Source organism: Homo sapiens, chromosome 3 (assembly GCF_000001405.40).
Source record: "Homo sapiens chromosome 3, GRCh38.p14 Primary Assembly".
NCBI lineage: Eukaryota > Metazoa > Chordata > Mammalia > Primates > Hominidae > Homo > Homo sapiens.
The window spans coordinates 67,216,199-67,234,948 of record NC_000003.12 but is presented as its reverse complement, the minus strand read 5'-3'; the positions used below and the strand labels follow the sequence as shown (position 1 = coordinate 67,234,948).

General features: G+C 42.7%; 1 non-coding gene across 1 annotated transcript; it reads right to left on the bottom strand.

Moving 5' to 3' along the window:
• Positions 1-9,421: 9,421 nt before the first annotated feature.
• MIR4272 (microRNA 4272) lies at positions 9,422-9,485 on the bottom strand. Its single transcript, NR_036234.1, has one exon. It is a non-coding gene; the product is annotated as a microRNA 4272 (primary transcript).
• Between the last annotated feature and the right edge of the window lie 9,265 nt (positions 9,486-18,750).

The window sequence follows — 18,750 nt, the reverse complement described above, 5'->3', positions numbered from 1 at the left end:
TGGGAAGAGTGAGAGTTGAAATCTAAGTGCCTATGGGGTTCAGCCAGAAACATAAATGAGTGAGGCAGGCCAGGTGGACAGCCTGGGGATGTGACAAGAACTTACCCTCTGGGAAGCTGCTCTCAGGTCCAGCAATTGCAGCTGTGGAGGATGCAAATCAATGTTGTCAGGTCATCCTGTTTTTCAAGAGAAGTACAACATCTAGATTTTGATATGAAAACTGCAAATGGAAATATCCGTATGAAATATCTCAAATATAAAATGTGGACAACAAGGCAATCTAAAAAACAAAACCAAAACATAGCAAGTCAATTTAAACATCTCCATATGCTCAATCTAGCCCATTGATCTGTAGTTAGCAAGCTATAGGAGAGAGTGAAGAAATTGAAATAGAAGTATAAGTGGCTTTAGATAACTGATCCTGTAGTTCTTGTTTAAAAAAAAAAAAAAGAAAAAAGAACATGATGAAAGACAGGTTGTAACTATTTAAGATCTTATAGTAGGGATTTCTAGGAAACAGAGCTACAATAATCATAGTATCACAATACTTTTGCATAGTGCTTCATATTTTTCAACTTGCTTCTATATATGCATTTAAATCTCCCTGCAGATCATTTTGATGGCTCAATCACTCAGTCAATATTAAGCAGCAGAATTTAGGAATAGACCCCGATCTCGCGATTCTCAACCTGGTTTTCTTTTAGCTCTACACATCCTGAGCAGTGATAACTGACCATCAATATTTGCAATCCTTACAGGCTTGTGCTTTTTTATCTCATACAGACAGGAGATAAAATACTAGGATAAGGGACAGAGCTCACGCCTGATTACTGATGGAGAGAAACAGGACAATCATTTGAGGATACATATATGATTGCTAAAGCTTGTTATTCTTGGCAGATCGAGATTGTTGATTTCCATGTGGTCCTCCCTAAATAATCTCTAATTACAAAAATACGCGCCTAGCAAAGGCTGAATAAATAATGTAATTGCGGCATAATCATTGTGTACATTCCTAAACACTCACCTAATGACTAGTAGTTTTAGAATTTGGTACTCCAAGTGCAGCTATTGCCAGCCAGAGCTGAAATGTGGCATGTTTTGCATGCTCCACGGAAATCATTTTAAATTAAGTGGATTTGAAAAATCATTACATGGAGGCAGATTTTTCTGATCACTTGGCCTGTGTGGGCCTCTCAAATGTCAGTTCTGTGCAGAAAGGGCTCGTGGCATTTGATGCCTTTCTGCCAGGTTGTGTATTTGACAGCTGTTCTGGGGTGTCTTTTCCCAGCCACTGGCCTGGCTACTGTCATAAAACCAATTAAAGTTGCAGGCAATTAATGTTATTTTCCTCAAGTGCTCCTGGAAATGCTTATATCATGTAGCACTTCAGCATGAAATCCGTGACCTTTGGAAATGCATGCACAGGAAGAGCAAATAAGCTTGGCTATGCATGTACGGTGTGCCATTAAGTTACGAAGAATATGAAAACAAATTGTAGTTGCTGGGTGCAGAGATGTCCGTGGAGCACTTTATATCCTAGGATTCTTAGAAATGAAGATATGTGTTCACACCAAAACCCAGATAAACCATAAAGGGGTGGTAGGTATACCGAACAGCAAAACATTTGCATATGTTCAGCAAATTATTTAACAAAACTTATGAACTGAAACACATTCAGAAAGGGGCTCCATGACTAGTAGTTTGTACCTGTTTTACCACATTTTAAGAAGGATATTAAACTGAAAATGAAAAGGAAAACCTGCCACTTTAGGAAGGGTTAGAGACAACAGAGCTGTTTAATCTAGAAAGAGAAGATTTAGGTATAAGGACAGCAGAGTTATCCTTCATTAGGTAAAATGAACTTTCCATGAGAAAGTTTGTCTTATTCCCTAAGTTATCCCAACAGATTTTTTTGTATCCCTTGGTTGAGGAGGGGACCTGGAGCATAGTAGGTGATAAATAAAAGTGTATTAAATAAGAAAGAATGGGACACACCATATGGTTGGGTATTATTTACCCATTCAGTTAAAAAGAAATGAATATATAAAAATAGCTGTTCCATGCAATATGTGGTTTGTGAGGTATGCTCCCTGTTATCTGCATAAGCCAGAGCTACAAGCTGGTAGCTTATGGACTGTCACTTACATATGCATGGGTACTGTTTGCCTATTCAGTATTTTCTTAATCGTTGATGTTTAAAAAATTTTTAATTGAGATGCTTGCTTGTGCACTCCTGCTCTTGCTCTCGTGCATGCTCTCTCTCTCTCGCACACACAAACACACAGAAACACACACACACCCCACACTTACACACCGCCCTTATCCTGCATTTTAACAATTGCCTGGAGCTGCACAGCTGGGGCATTAGCTTTTTGGTTCTTATCAGACCTCACTACTCCCTGTTGTTTTAGACTGAGCTCCATTTCACTCACTGATCTGGCCTTCCTTGCCCCTGAAGATAGCTGAGCTTGCCAACCTTAGTTTAAGCAGAGGCAGCAGTCAACCATGTATCATGGGAGTATGTATGGCAGACACACCTGATAGCAGTAATGTAACTTAAGCATACCCTGACAGTGACCCTTATGGAAGATGCACCTGATAGCAATAACATAAGCATACCCTGAGAATGCAGACGCACCTGATCTGTATAAACTGCATGCTTTTTACAAATGGTAATGGTTCTCCTGTCCAGCCCACTGCCACTGCACCAACCTGTATGTAAGTTCCTTCAATAAATCCTAGTCTCTTTCACTGGCTCTGGGTCTCTTCTTTGGCCTCTGTAAGATGACTTCAATAGGGGCCTGGCATGACAATTTGCACACCAGCCAGGAGGTCAGAGAAAGCTACATGAGCACCAAGACAATGGGACTGGGAAAGGGGGAAATATGAGGGAGAAATCTCAGGCTGGCTGTCCATGCCTGTGTGGGACCTGATAGCCACTACTCTTGATGGACAGGATCCAGTGTGTGAGCACAGGGATGCCCTGAAAACACTGAAGGGCCTGGAAGAGTTGGTGCAGGCGTTGATCTATCTGAGTAAAAGTGAGATGCTGGAGCTGTGGCAGCCATGGTTGGCTGGCTGCTCCTGACTGCGATTTGACAGCCCCTGAAGCTAATCCTGTAGCGCAAGCAAGGGTGTGTCAGTTACAGGATGAACTATGACTAGAAAGAGGTTCCAGATTAGTTCAGGCTGAAATCTCAGAGACCTTACTATCCCACATGGAGGGTGACAAAATGGAGACCCTGGCTTGTCAGGTAGCTCATCTAAAGGATTGCCAGAAGTGATGTTAACGAGTTAGGGCTATCATGACTAGATTGTCCTGGGACCCCATGGAGGAGACTGAGGACTGGGACAAGCCTATAGAGGTTTCTGTCCTCTCTGTCCGTCTCGTAGTCACTACAAAGATAAAAGCAGGCCAGTTGCCCCCACAGGGAGCAGACCTGCAAAACTTGCTCCCACCTGAAAGATGGCAGCACATCACAGTGTGGGACTACACTGCTGTGGAATGGGTGGAACTGGGAAATAGGTTCAGACAGAAGGGGAGAGAGTCGACTGAGGGATGGCTTCTCCGTCTGTGGGACATGGAAATGGAGGGTGTTATCCTGTCAATACTGGAGATAAGTAAAATGGCATCCATCCCAAACCACCTGGCCCTGAGGCAGTGCCTCTATGGCACCAATAATGAAGATTGGGCCAATTCCTTCCTTGACTGTGTGGTTGCCGGCTGCCAAGCAGCCTGGCCAAGGAAGAAGACATCCTCACGTTTCCTTTGCAATGGTAGACTATGAAGGAATGGCAGGACATCCTCCGGGAATAAGGGATGAAGCGTGCTGTCTGTGTTAAGCATTACTGAGGTACTGATCATGAGATTTTCACTGCCAGCAGGAAAGGCATCATCTTACGGTTGGCACCCAGCCAATGGTATGGCACACTGGCATGTATCCTGAGTTCCTTGGTAGGACAGCCAGTGTCTTGAGCTGCTGACTTAGGGGAAATGCAGAAACTGCATAGGCAAAGGAGGGCGTGCTGTCAGGACGAAAGGCAAGGGAGCTAAAGGAAAGCAGACAGCCCAGGGGCCCATCAGGGTGACCCCTGACAAATGTTGCACAACTCTAGTCACTTTGAAATATACAAAATATTGTTGCTAAGTATAGTCATCCTGATTCTGCTATCAAGCATTAGAACAATGGATCTTTACCATCTTACCCCAGGGACACCACCGTGGAGTGGGTACATGTTTTCCATTAACTTCTGAGTCTTTTTCCAGTTTACAAACTGCAGCCCCCACCTTGCTGTCTCACTTGGTGAACAGAGGATGGGTGGTCAATGCAGGCAAAGTCCAGGGTCCAGGCTTATCAATCAAATAATTGGGTGTCATCTTGTCGGGTAAGACTAAAGTTGTTCCGGCTGCTGTTATGGATAAGGTGCAGGCCTACTCATGTCCCAGGACACCAAAGCCGTTGCAAACCTCCTTCTTAGGCCTTCTAGGGTATGGGCATCCTTTTAGTTCCCATTTGGCCCAACTCCTTCAGCCCCCATACTGCTTAGTCAAGAAGGGGGCCCAATGGGACTGGTCCATAAATCAGGATGAGGCCTTTGAACAAGCTAAAGTCTCAGTGAAACAAATAAAAACCTTGGGAGTTCTAGTGCAGGGACAGCCTTGTGAATTGGATGTAGCCCGTCCCCCTGAGGGATTTGAGTGGGGCCTATGGCAAAGGAAAGAACATAAACAGGTGACTTTAAGGTTCTGGTCCCAACTATGGAAGAGGGCTGGAGTTAGAAAAATGTCACTTTGGAGGCAACAACTCTGTGCTGTATATGCGTTACAACAAGTGGAGGACATTACAAAGGGGGTCATGGTACATGCTCAGTACTCCTTAGCAGGTTGGCTAAGAGATAACTTCCAGGAACCAAAGTCTGGGAATGCCCAGACACAGACTGGCCAAATGGCATGCATGACTGCCACAGAGGAGTGCACTAACTAATAGCCCCTTGAGCAGAGCCCCATTTTGTGCTTGGCCCTGTCACCTATGTGACAACTGAAGGACAGTTTTTGACGGAGGCTACTGACCCTCCACGGATTCCTTCCTTTGTACAGGCCTGGCACACAGCTTGTCTCAAGGCAATCCTTGCGCTTGGACAGTTGTGGCCATCTGGCCATCCACTGATAGGATCTGGTTTGATACAGGCAAAGGACATGGTAGCCAATGGGCTGAACCACGAGCCACCTGGATGATTCTTCTCCATTAGTGGACCTGATAGTCCTGTGAACCAATGGCTGGGTGGTCTCTAAGGGACTCATGATGTGGCCACTGCAATGGGAAGTGCAGGAACACCCCAGATCCTTGCTGCATGATGCTGAACAGATCACCTGGAGCAGAAGCCCAGCACTACAGTGACAGGTGACTACATAGGACCTTTGCTTCTGTCTGAGGGCTGCCTCTATACCTTGGCTTATACAGTCACCTGTGCAGGGCTACTGCAGGCATGTTCCATTAGTTGTGCCACCCAGAAAGCCACCATATGAGGACTGGGGCAGCTGTATGTGGTCTACTGTGTCTCCACTGATATCAGCAGTGACCAGGGCTCTCATTTTACCAGTCATGAAATGCAGCAATGGGTGGAGACCCTGGATATCCACTGGCATTCCCACCTGCCATGCAACCCTACAGCAGCAGAGCTGATTGAGTGGATGAATGGACTGTTGAAGCAATAACTTGCTGTCTGGTTCTGTGGACTTGCAGCTTACCAGCAGCCCTTTGCACCTTGAATGAACACATGCATTCTCATCACCCCAGGGCATACACTCTTCTGATGCAGGGACCTGATACCACCATCAGGATCCAGGTAGACAGTGTCAGGGACAGTACACCTTTGTCCCAACCTGGGACTCAAGCTGCTGTTGCCCTTGCCACACCACCTACCCACTGGGGAGCACATCATTACATGGCCCTGGACATGGCAAACCAGCCACCGATAGTTTAGTTTTTCCACTCCATGGAGGGAGGGCCTAGAACAAGATATACAGGTCATACCTATTTTACAACCTACTCCCCGCTGAAATTCTCAAATAATAAATCCCGGTCCTCCCTTGTGCAAGGAGACAATCATCCTCTCATTATCGAACCTTACAATACCTCCATTGTCTGATTTTGGCCCTCCTGCAATGTGTCACAGAGGGGGCCATTCCATTTGGCATTGTAAACAGGACCAGATCACTACCAGGGGTGGAGCTCTTGCAGAACAACATAACTTCCTGTGTCTTGTTAAATGACCATAACTTGCTCTTTCTTACCTTCTGCCCATAGATGATGGGCAACAAACCTCTTTGCCAAATGGAAGCAGATGGTGGCCTCTCTCCAGAACTAAACAGATTGTTGCATCTGCAGAGAGCTGCCCCTCTCCTCCACCATGGGCCTACCATAGTGCATCTAAGATCAACTCCCAAGCCTTTAGAAGAGCTTTATGATATATTCATTATTCTTTTCTTTTTTTGCTGTTGTAGTTTGTATTGGTGCTGCAGCAGCTGGCTGCAATGCTCCTCCCCATACCTGGCCCTTGGGAAATTATAGAAGAATGGCATGATAAGAACGTGAGGGCAATTCAACCGTGCGTGCAGCAGGGTGGAGTGGGTGGCAGATGCACCTGATAGCAATATCGTAACTTAAGCATACCCTGAGAATGACCCTTATGACAGACGCACCTGAAAGCAATAATTAAGCATACCCTGCGAATGCAGACACATCTGATCTATATAAACTGCATGTTTTTACAAATCAGTAGCGGCTCCTTCCCAACTCGCCTCTACACGACTGCTCTGTATGTAAGTTCCCTCAATAGACCCTGTCTCTTTCACTGGCTCTGAGTCTCTTCTTCAGCTTTTTGAACATGGTGCTATCTGTATTGAAATCAATAGGGGTCCAGCATGACAGAGTGGTAGAAGTGGCTCCTGTGTTGAGAAAAAGAATGGAACAGATGAGCTTTCCAGCTTTTTCACTCTAAGATGCCTTGATTCAATGATGAATAACTATGCCTCGTTCACCAGAGTAGAAATGGCACTGGTCCCTGGTTGCAGCCAACTCACAAGCACTTCCCTCAACTCAATCCATCAGAAAGAGCCTACCTAGATCACAAAATCCACAGGTCCAGATGGCACTAAGCATCCTCAGAGTTCCATCTCATATGCCCCAAGATTATTAGCTAAGGTTACATCTTCATTCCGCCTTTTGCCCCTCCCCTTTCTCAGTTACTTTGGTTTCCCCTAGGATCAAATTAAGGGGTTGTAGGAAGTGGGAGTGGGGAAACTCATGGAAATGAGTTGTGTCACTAATTAATGACATCAGTGTCAAGAAGAGCTGGAATTGAGCGAGTTTACAGGGAGCTAGGATCAAGGGCTTGTTTGATTTTAATGGTTGTTGTGGTTGTACTAAATGCTAATCACTTTTCATGACACCGGCTAATGGGTATGGAATATCTGGCTCAAGTCCTTTTCAGCGAATCCAGGCTAGCTCTTAAGAGAGCTGCAGAGTTCTGGCTCCAGCTGTGCTCCTTCCTCTTCCCTTCCTTTAAAGAATACGAATTATTCTTAGATATGGGTCCCAAAAATTTAGACAATGATTCACAGGAGAGCTGGGGAGGCAGAGAGAGTAAAACACAAGCCACCTGCTTAGGTTTCAAGGTCCAATCATTGACAACACACCTAATCAGGTTAAACTGGCACTAAAATGCTGCCTGTAGCTGCCTTTGATATCTGACAGATGTTGCATAACTATATTGGGAAAGGCCAAATTGTCATAGTACTCATTGGAGAAAAGGAGACAGTAAAAATTTTTAGGTAAAGCTAACCTACATTCACCTAATAAATGCTGAATAAATACCAGCAATGCTAGAGAAGCCATTTGTATGGATCCATGGTGTTTGGTTCAGCTGGGTTGAGATCTCCATGTTTCCATCATTCCTCAGGCACTATAAGCCTGTGACAAAATGGTGTCCTTGGGTCACACATGTTTTGGTCCCAGACTCGGTGTCCAATATGTCAGCCCATCAAGGCAGATGGTGAGCAGGACAATGTTTCAGAACTTTGGAAAATATACCACTTAAGAGTCCAGCCAGGGAAATGCCTGAAATTGAAAAATAATGTAATAGAATATTTGATTTGCCACCATAGACCTTAACTGGGAAGATTGCCACATTGAAATGAGTGGACAGCTTGGCTGACTTCGATCCTTCAGCTCTGCTTAGTAACTGCACATCAGTGGGTTGGGTCCTAGACTTTCAATGGGTCCCCAAAGTCCCTCCCCTAAACATTACACATCTACAAGCACATACCCCCAATAATATTTGGGGCTATATCCATAAAGTTGCAACATTAGCCTAAGAGCAAAGGTCTGAGCCAGTGGTCACTGGGTGTTTCCTCGGAGGGACTGTAGGTGGCCAGCAGAATGGATGGCAAGGCAAATGAAATGTCATTTCCATTTCATTCAGTTTGCTTTTTCTCCATGCTACCAGCTACTGACTTGGCCTCTTGGAAACAAAGTTGTTTTTCTGTGATTCACCAGAAACTTTCTGGACCTGAATACCTCACTTCTCCAAGGTTAGCCTCTTTGAGCCATTAAGAAGTGTTGTCCCTTGTCCATTCGGGGTTGAATGTCTGTTATTTCCCTCCCCACTGCCCCCCGCCAATATTCCTTGAACTTCTCAGAGAATATGTCTTTGGCATGCAGCCTGTGGAAGGCTGTTTATTTTAAACACCTGCAATTCTCTCTTCCTCACCTCACTCCCCTTCCAAACAAGGAATCACTCTTAGCAAATCTAAAGTGCTAGAGAGCTGATGGTTCTGGAAGCAGCCTTCAGCTAATAACAGATAGGGAAGGTAGTAGAAAATCCTCTAGCTTCTCTGGCCCTCAAGCAGGACCACTCTCTGAAGTGTGGTCCACACAGTCTTCCTGTAGTTCCCCGGTGAGGTCAAGCTCCAGGTTTCTAAGGCAATATCTGACTTAATAACACATTTTTAAAATTTGCTTTGTTCCTTTTCTATCTCACTTGCCTATGCCCCTCTTGGTATTTCCTGAGACCTTCCAAATAAACGATTTACACTAGAATCCTCCTCTCAGCATCTGCCTTGGGAGAGTCAGTCTCCATGCAGTAGGGAGGCTGTGTAAATTACATGCTGAGATTATGCCTTGCATTATCAGGAAGCACACAAAAAGCAAAACTACACAAAGACTTGGTGGATGAAAGACCTTCTCAGAAATGAGAAGACTGGCATTTGATAACATGCTAAGATGGCCAACATCTTTGAGTGGTTACTCTCCATTTCCCACAGTGAATTATAAGTCCCAGATAGGACACGGTCCATGACAGTTTTTGTTTACCAATGTGTCCCCATAAGGTAGACACACAGTAATATTGAGCAGATCTCTTATAACACAATCACTAGTTGAATGCTTTCTATGCATTAACTGATTAATTTGTGCAGAAAAGATCCAGCCCTTTGGATAACACAACTCCGTTGGTTAATGGTGCCCTTTCTATGGGAGGAGGATTCCTGATACTGCTAGTGCTGTCCTGATGACCAGCAGGGTCACAGAGATGGGAACTGACTCTGCCCTGGGAGTTGGCAAAGGAGACTTTTCATCTAGGTCTTGACTATTCCTAGGAGTCTAACGGTTAAAAAAAGGAAATGGAGTGGAGGGTGACAATTATTTATTTATTCAACAATTGTGTAATTTAGTACCAGCTTTGTGACAGGAATTCTGCTAGGCATAAAGAAGAAGTAGTGTTCAGGGACCCTGCCTTCTCAGAATTTTGATTGAAGCACTATTCACTTTGCATTCTTTGTGGAGTTGTACCACGTGTTCCTAGTGGTAGACAGCAAAGAAGTAAAAAAAAAATTTAAAAAGATTATGATAAATACGAAGTAATACAGCAGTGATTCTTAAATTTTAATTGGCATCTAGATCATGTGAGGATCTTATTTAAATGTATATTCTGATTCAGTAGGCCTGGGATAGGGCCTGAGATTCTGCATTTCTAATCAGGGCGCAGGTGGATACAGATGCTGCTGGTCCTTGGAGCGTATTTTGAATAGTATGGTGATAGGCTGTAGTTCTCAACCTGGTCTGTGCATAACAGAACCTGAGGAACTTTAAAAATGACTGATGCCTGACTTTACTCCAGCAATATTTGTCTAATTTGAATGGGAGAATCCTGGCATGATAGTTAACATTAGGTGTCAACCTGACTGGGTTGAGGGATGCCTAGATGGCTGGTGAAGTATTGTTTCTGGGTGCGTCTGTGAGGTTGTTCCTGGAGCAGGTTGACATTAGAATTGGTGGAGCGGGAGAGGAAGACTCACCGCATGTGGGTGGGTGCCATTCTCTTGGGCTGCCAGCATACCTAGGTCAAAATAGGCAGGAAAATGTGGGATAAGCTTGCTTTCTGAGTCTTCTGGCTCTTTTTCCTTTCCGGTACTGGATCCTTGCTTCTGTTCCCCCTGCCATTCGATATCAGACTCCAAGTTCTTCAGCCTTCGGACTCTGGGACTTGCACCAGTGTCCACCCCAAGGGCTTTCAGGCCTTCACCCGCAGACTAAGGGCTGCATTCTCGGCTTCCTTGGTTTTGAGGCTTTCAGACTTGGACTGAGCCACTATCAGCTTCTCTTTCCCCAGGTTGCAGACCACCTATTGTAGGACTTCGCCTTGTAATCATGGGAGCCAATTGTTCCTAATAAACTCCCTTTTATGTATACATATACGCTATTGGTTCTCTCTCTCTGGAGAACCCTAATATACCTGGGTATTGGCAATTTTTTTAAAACTGCTTTATTGGGTGTAAATTACATATCGTAAATCCATCTATCTTATTATACATTTTATGTGTACAAGTAAATAATTTTTAGTGTGTCTGTAATTTTGCCACCATTACCACAATCCAGATTTAGAACACTTTTCATTATCCTCAAAACATCTACTGAACTCATATGCAATTAATCTCAGTTCTCACCATCAGCCCCAGGCAACCACCAATCTACTTTATTTCTCCACAGATTTGCCTTTTCTGGACATTTCATATAAATGAAATTATATAATATGTGGTCTTCATGCCTGATTTTTTTATTAGCATGATGTTTTTGAGGTTCATCCTTGTTGTAACATGTATTATTACTTCATTCTTCCTTATTCCTTCATTGATTGTGTGGTATAAGTAGATTACATTTTGTCTAACCATTCACCAGTTGGCTGACATCAGAGTTGTCTCCACTTTTTGGTAAATAATGTTTCTTTGACTGTTCACATACAAATCTTTACATGGGAATGTATTTTTATCTGTGTTGGTTAGAGACTTAAGAGTGGGTTTTCTGGGTCATATGGCAACTCCATGGGTAGCTCTTTAAGAAACTGCCAAACTGTTTTTTTAAGTGGCATTATTTTACATTCCCATCAGTGATGTATGAAGGGTTTCTCCACATTTCCACCAAAACTCAATGTCTGATGTTGTGACTGTAACCATCTTTGAGGGTGTAAACTGGTATCTCGTTGTTTTTTATTGGCACTTCCATAATGTCTAATGATGTCGAGCATCTTTTCATGTGCTTATAAGCCATTCATCCATCATATTTGGTAAAATGTCTATTCAGATCTTTTGCCCATTTTTAACTTTGTTGTTTGTCGTCTTGTTGAATTGTAAGAGCTCTTCATACATTCTGGATATCTTTAATAAGATATATACTTTGGAAATATTTTCTCCCAGTTTATGGCTTCTCTTTTCATTTTATTAAAAATATCTTTTGAAGTACAACCTTTCACTTTTGATGATGTCCAATTTATTGACTTTTTCTTCTATACTTTGACTTTTAGTGTCATATCTAAAAACTTTTTGCCTAATCCAAGGTGACAAACATTTTCTTCTATGTTTTCTTCTAAACATTCTGTAGTATTACATTTTCATCTAGGTTTGTGATCTATTTGAGTTAATGTTTGTGTATGGTATGAGGTAAGGGTCTAAACTGATCACTTTGCTTGTGAATATCCACTTGTCTCAGCACCATTTGTTGACAAGAATATCCCTTTCCCTTTGACTTATATTGCCTTCTGTGTCTAAAATTAATTGATTATAAATGTAACGGTTTATTTCTGGACTCTCAATTCTGTTTCATATACGTATGTATGTAGCCTTATACTAGTGCTGTAGTCTCGCTTACTTTAATGGGGCTTTTAAAAAGATCCCCAGGTGACTCTAATGGGCAGCAAAGTTTGGGAGTCACCATGATAAAGAATGACTTGAGGAGTAGGATGGAGAGGCCACTTTAGGTAAGGTGGTCAGGGGAGGCTTTTCTGGAGCTGTGATGTTTCAGTTCCATCCAGCCATGAGAAATGCTGGGGAAAGAGTATTCATGAGCCATGTACCAGGAGACACTTTTCCAGGTTTGGCTAGAGATGTTTGCAGTCTAAGAAAAATTAGGTGGCCATGGTGATAATTCAGGAGGTCCTGACATATGAAGCTGCATGTTCCTAACTCTACACTATCAGCCAATACTTTGTCCATTGATTTCCAAACTGGGGTAGTTGTAGCCTCCTGAGTTACTCAGTGATACAGTACAGGATATGCCACAGGATAAGCCAAGCCCTGTTTACTGTTTCGTTCATTCACTCATGAATTCATTCAATAATATTCATGGAGTGTCTGGTGTGCAGAGCATTATACCAAGCATTAGGGATATAATGATGAATGAAACAAAGTCATTGTTTCACAGAATTGACAGAACACCTTCATAGAGCATCAGTTTTATACACGCTCACACACATACACAATTGTACGATTTAAATGATGGTGCCAGATGAATAAATTAGCACACATATTCTACCTAACTCTGGGGCTAATGCCTTACTTCTAAAGAGACTGAAATCGACAGGGATACTGTCAAAAAGATTAAGTGTAATAGTATGCTAGTAATGATAATATTATCCATGGTCTGACAGCTTCATATATGCCCATATTCTACTTACCAATTTATTGTCTCTCAGCTCCAAATTGCCCGTCTTTGTGATACTGCCGAGGGACCCTGTAAACATCCCCTTTGCCAGCTGGCTGAATCTTGGGCTTTGTCAAAAGAGGACAGCGGAATGACCCTGCAAGGCTATAGAGTGTGAAGACTCTTCCCTTCTGAGTTTGTGTCTTCTATTATTTATTAATCATTGTAGGAGCTGATGGCCTGTAGGGCTCAGCTCCAGTGGAGTCCACAGACCACTGTCAACTGTGTAGCTGCTTCCAAGCAACTTCCACCCACCTGAGCCTGACCATGCAGGTCAGGCCAGTGCAGGTCTGTGCTCTCTGGCAAGTTTCTTCTTCTTTGGCAGACTGCATGTTCTGTAGCACCACGCCCTCTGCAAGGAGGGCTGAGTCTTGCCCCTGGGAAAGGGGCTCCCGGCCCTTTGTTCCTGGTTGCCCACTCCTCCTCAGCCTGGAAGGAGCAGCTGCCTTTTTGTTCCTACTGTGTCTGAGTTCCTTGGAGTTCTCTTTTGCCCTTTTTAGTAGTTAATGACCTTAAAATTTTCCCATTCAATTAGTCAATGAGGTTTCTGTCTTCTGACTGGACCTTGACTATAGTGCAGAATGATGAAAACAGTTCTGTTTCATATCTGGGCTCAAGGAGCCATGTATATTGGATGGCTCCTTCAGAATGGAGAAAGAAAAAAAAATCAAGACGATAAAAGACTGGTTTATGTTTTGAAACCTTAGACTGATTTCACAGCCCCATGGCACACAAGGAACCCATGCCTGATCAACATTTCCCAAGGCTTTGCAACTCTAATACTCAGTGACAGTTGCAGTTAAAAATTGATGCTGCCATCCCAAAGAGCTGATTTCATTTTTCTCCCAGCTGAGGTTTGCCTCAAGGTTGAGTAAATTGTTGGGATGAATAGAAAAAGATCCGAAACAGGATCTTAGCCCTTGGGATATGTAGGCAGAAAAGTATGTTCAATAACATGGTGACTCTGGTATTCCTTCCTGACCCTGGTCTATATCTTACAGCTTGTGTGATGCAGAAGGGATAATTTGGGGTATGTGGACTTTTAAAAGTCTATTCTGGCCTCCTGCCTATTTGTAGAGGAAGTGACACTGAATGGTGGTTAAGCACAGAATCTGGAGCCTGGCTGTCTGGTTCAAACACTGGCTTAGCCAATTTCTGACTATATGATCTTGACCAAATCACTTAACATGCCTGTTTCCTAATCTGTGAAATGGGCATAAAAACACTCTCTGTAAGAGTATGGAGATTAAACAAGTTAATATTTATAAAATACTTAGATGAATACCTGGATCATTTTGTGGCCTCTAAGCATTAGCTGCCATGATGACGATGAGGGTTAATGGGTAAATGCTGTAAGAGACAAAGGTGGACACAGGAGAATGATAATAACAAAGGCAATGTAAACCTATTAAATATTATATCCCATGCATTTAATGCCAAATCTAGTTTAGTCTACTAGTGTATGATTTTTATTTTACAAATGGGGAAGCTGAGGGCTAGACAGGTTAAGCTTCAAATCATTGTTGCAGCTGAGATGCAAAATCAAAACTGACTTCAGCTCCATGACTTACCACCATGCTATATTGCAGAATACTAAACTACAGACAGTGAAAAATATGGGGGAAAAAAATACACTTTTCTTTTCTCTACTCTATATTTCCACCTCTGCTTACTTCTGTTGTTTTTTTTCTAGGAGTGCTGCTAAAACTGCTTACTTGTATCTCTACCCCAAACTACCCGTGAATAGTAGAGTGATTAGCATACATGTAGGAAAAGTTACATATAGAAGAGCATTTAGGTCAGATGCTATATAAGTTCATATACAAAAGGAATCACCAGAGACCAGGAGTGGTGGAGTTGGGATAGAGGAAGGGCTAGGGGTGCTGAAGGGATAGGACTTTAATGGAGTTTGAGAGGAGTTATGACTTGGAGCAGCAGAGAAATGCAGGAGTAAACTACTCTATAAATCACCTCCAGTTGGTCCAATGCCTATTGACTGATGGCCCTCACTGAGTCTGACCTAAGCTTAGTGAAGCACACAAAATCCACATCAGCTGCCACTTCCTTTCTCAAGGATAATTTCAGAGCCCTGCCTACCCCCCTTCTCTTCTTGTTTAGCCTCTGTAAGCACCAAGTAAAGGATTGCTTCCCATGTTTCTTCAAAGGGGTAGTTAGAACAATTGCCAATCTTTGGGCAACCCCTGACTCCTACCATTAGCCTGTTGAACACTCTACCACTCCATTTATGCACAATGCACATGAAGATTTGCAGCCCTGTCAGTAGATCCTTTAAATAATTACTTCAACATTCTGTGGGGGGATATTTTTCAACAGATCCCCTTCCTTCCAGCAATGAGACCTGAAAGAGGAGGTGAACACAGGGGGACACTAGGAACTGTTTCCTCCAGCTCTAGCTGTGAGTCAAAAATATATTTGTTGGAGCTCATTTAAATGAGTCAGAAGACCCCACAGTCCACATTTCTTGCCCAATCCCATTTTTTAATGGAAAGAGAACTCTCTGAGAACAAAGAATTGGCAAGGAACAACATACTGAAAACTACCAATTTTAGTTAATCAGTAATTTCTAATAAGTAAACTAGAATAAACTTCTTATTGCATAGATAGTTCAAAGTGTTTCCTCACTATTATTTTTCTACATGAACCAGCAGCAGATTCTGTGGGCATCTCACTCGTGTACACTTGCTTTTACCACTTCACTGCATCCCTCCAGGACTTCCAGTTCCTGTACCTGCATTCTTTTCCCTGAGGGATCTCTCTGGCCATGGGAGCATGGCAGACCACCAAGCAGCAGGCTGGAAATGCATGCTCCCTCCTAGTATCCCTCAACCAACCTCTGATGGGAGTTAGTGTATAAACACCCTAGCTTCAGCACGCCTTGGGTGGGATGACTTTGAGACACATGGTCTACGCTGATTCTCAGAGTTCTCCAAGGAATTAAGTTCCCAGTTGCAGGAAACTGGCTCAATAACACATCCTTTATTGTCTTCCTCATCTTTCTTGTCTTATTTCTTCCCTCCCCTACTGGTGCTTCCTAGATTGACCTCCAAACTACATTACTTGCACTCAAATCCTTGTTTTGGGGTCTAGTTGTGAAGATCTCAAACCCATGACCTTTGTTTATATTTTAACATTAAAGAACAAGGTATTCCCATTTTGAGACAATTCTTTTGGGACTTAAATAGGAGACAAAGCAATAAAATTGGTTTCTCTTGAGCTAATTTTAGGGAATTCTGCTTGCTTTATTTAAGAACTAATTGCCTATGAATTCATCTAGATTGTGCCCTACTCAAGGCTCTGTTAGTGTTAACTAATACAAACCCACTTAAACTAGATTAAGTCTTTGAAAGGCGGGATAGGAGGCTTTATCATAAGTACACTGAGATGTCTTTCAAGTCCAGAAATGCATCTTAGGCAGAGTAAGGAATTGGAACTAGAAATTAGACAGCCGTTTTCTCTTCTGGGGCTACAAATTCTCTTATTTTTACCTCATTTTATGTATCTGCCGCTTATCTCCCTGTAGATTGGCTTTTCCCATCTGTTTGTACAAACAGACATGGTTGCATGATAACCTTTACATTTTCCTCGTTTCTATTCTACCAGATAGTGAATTCAGAATTCCAGAAAGAGAGCCCTGATTGCCCCACCTTGAGTCAGATGTCATCTCTGACCCAATCAGCAGTGGCAGTGGGTGGGTGGGCTGGTTAACACCTGCCTGCTGGAATGTATGTCTCTGGGGAGCTCAAAGAAGAGGACTGAGGCCTGGGAATACCCCATTTGAGCATAGTCTATTTGGACACTTGAAAACAAAAATTTGGACATTATAAAAGCTGCCTGTTTCTAAGAGGGTAAGTTTCTGCATATAATTTATAATGCAAAAATGCCTTTATTCATTAATACTATGCCAAGGTTACTCAACTAACCGATGTTCTTTAAAGCCATAAAACTGGGGGGAAAATTTCATAAAGTGCTTTAACCTACGGAAAGGGCAAAAATGTGGGTTTTATGCATTGCCGACCATTGAACCTCCAACATTGTTCCATTTCTAATAATAGTGCCCCTGTCAAGAGGATAGGAATACTGCCTCACGTTGGATGACCTTTGAATTTTAACTCCCAGTATGTATTATTCAAGCAGTTAGAATGCCAGCTCTACTGCTTTCTAGCTGTTTAACCCCTGAAAACCTTAGATCCCTCACCTGGAAAATGGGGATATTGATAAAATATTAACTGAGAAACTGCCTGGCACATTGGGAGGAAGCACATAAAAAGAGTGCAACAAATGTTAACTTTTTTTTTTTTCTTGAGACGGTGTCTCGCTCTGTTGCCCAGGCTGGAGTGCAGTGGTGCAATCTCACTGCAACCTCCACCTTGGAGGTTCAAGCGATTCTCCTGCCACAGCTTCACAAGTACAGAGATTACAGGCATGTGCTACCACGCCCAGCTAATTTTTTTGTATTTCTAGTAGAGACGTGGTTTTGCCATGTTGGCCAAACTGGTCTCGAGCTCCTAACCTCAAATGATCTGCCCACCTCGGCCTCCCAAAACGCTGGGATTACATGCCTGAGCCATTGCGCCCAGCCAATGTTTACTTTTACCGTTATTTCTAGTTAAGATATAAACAACAGGACAATGAAAACACAAATGGAAGCCAGTGAAGTAGTTAAAATCATGCATTCTAGAATCTTTCAGTCTCTGCATCAGAATCTAGTTCAGACATTTATTAGCTGTGTATCAATTCTATTTCACAATTTTATGATCTGTGAAATAGAAATTAATCATCACAGCGACTACTTTCTTAATATTTCTAGTTAGGAGGAGATGAGATGTAAGGCACTCAGGACAGTGCCTGCCACTGTGAAAGCACTCAATGCTTTCACATGTGTAACTCATGAGTTAGTGTTCGTGTTACAAGGATTAGGATTCATAGCTGTGGGAAGTGTTCCAGTCAGAAATCTGCTCTTTAGGCTGCAGGTGAGATGAGGTGAGAGGGTAGTCTTTATATAAATGACATAATTACTCATGATTCACACATGAAATGTCACTAACCCCCTCTCAGTCGAAAAGCTATCCTAATAGAATTAGGTTAATATCCCAATTATTAGTGGCGAAGCTTAGTGTCAAAAATCATATTTATTCCTCGGGGCAAAAATAAACCTGTGCTGAATATAAGAACACTGGACATATGCCAAATTTGCTAGTTCAGTCTGAGATATTCCAGACCAACAGATTCATGAATATGTATTTCAGCCAGAGTTTGCTGGTAAGATGTAGTACGAGAAGCATTCGTTTAGGTCTATTTTTGTACATTAGGTTCAGCCACAGCTTTAAATACTCACCTGTCTGCTTTTTGAAGTCATGTTTATTTCTGTGATTTGGATAAACTGCTGTCCTTATTTGCAAACTCTTAAACTTTATTGCCATCCTTACATATGCTGCCATGGCCTTGGGTCAGATCAATGCATAGTTACTGAGACATCAGCCCTCCACGTGATTCTGATACACACTTTGGCTGGAGAACTCCAGGGATAGGTAGTGAACACAATGGTGAAATTTAGATTCAGTCCACCTGGTTTAGATCCTCCTTCATAGGTCTGTTGTGACATTTAAATTAGGCAATAAATGTAAAGCCTTTGAGCAGTATAAAAGGCAATGCACGTAAAGCACTTAGAACCAGCACTTACTAAGCACACAAA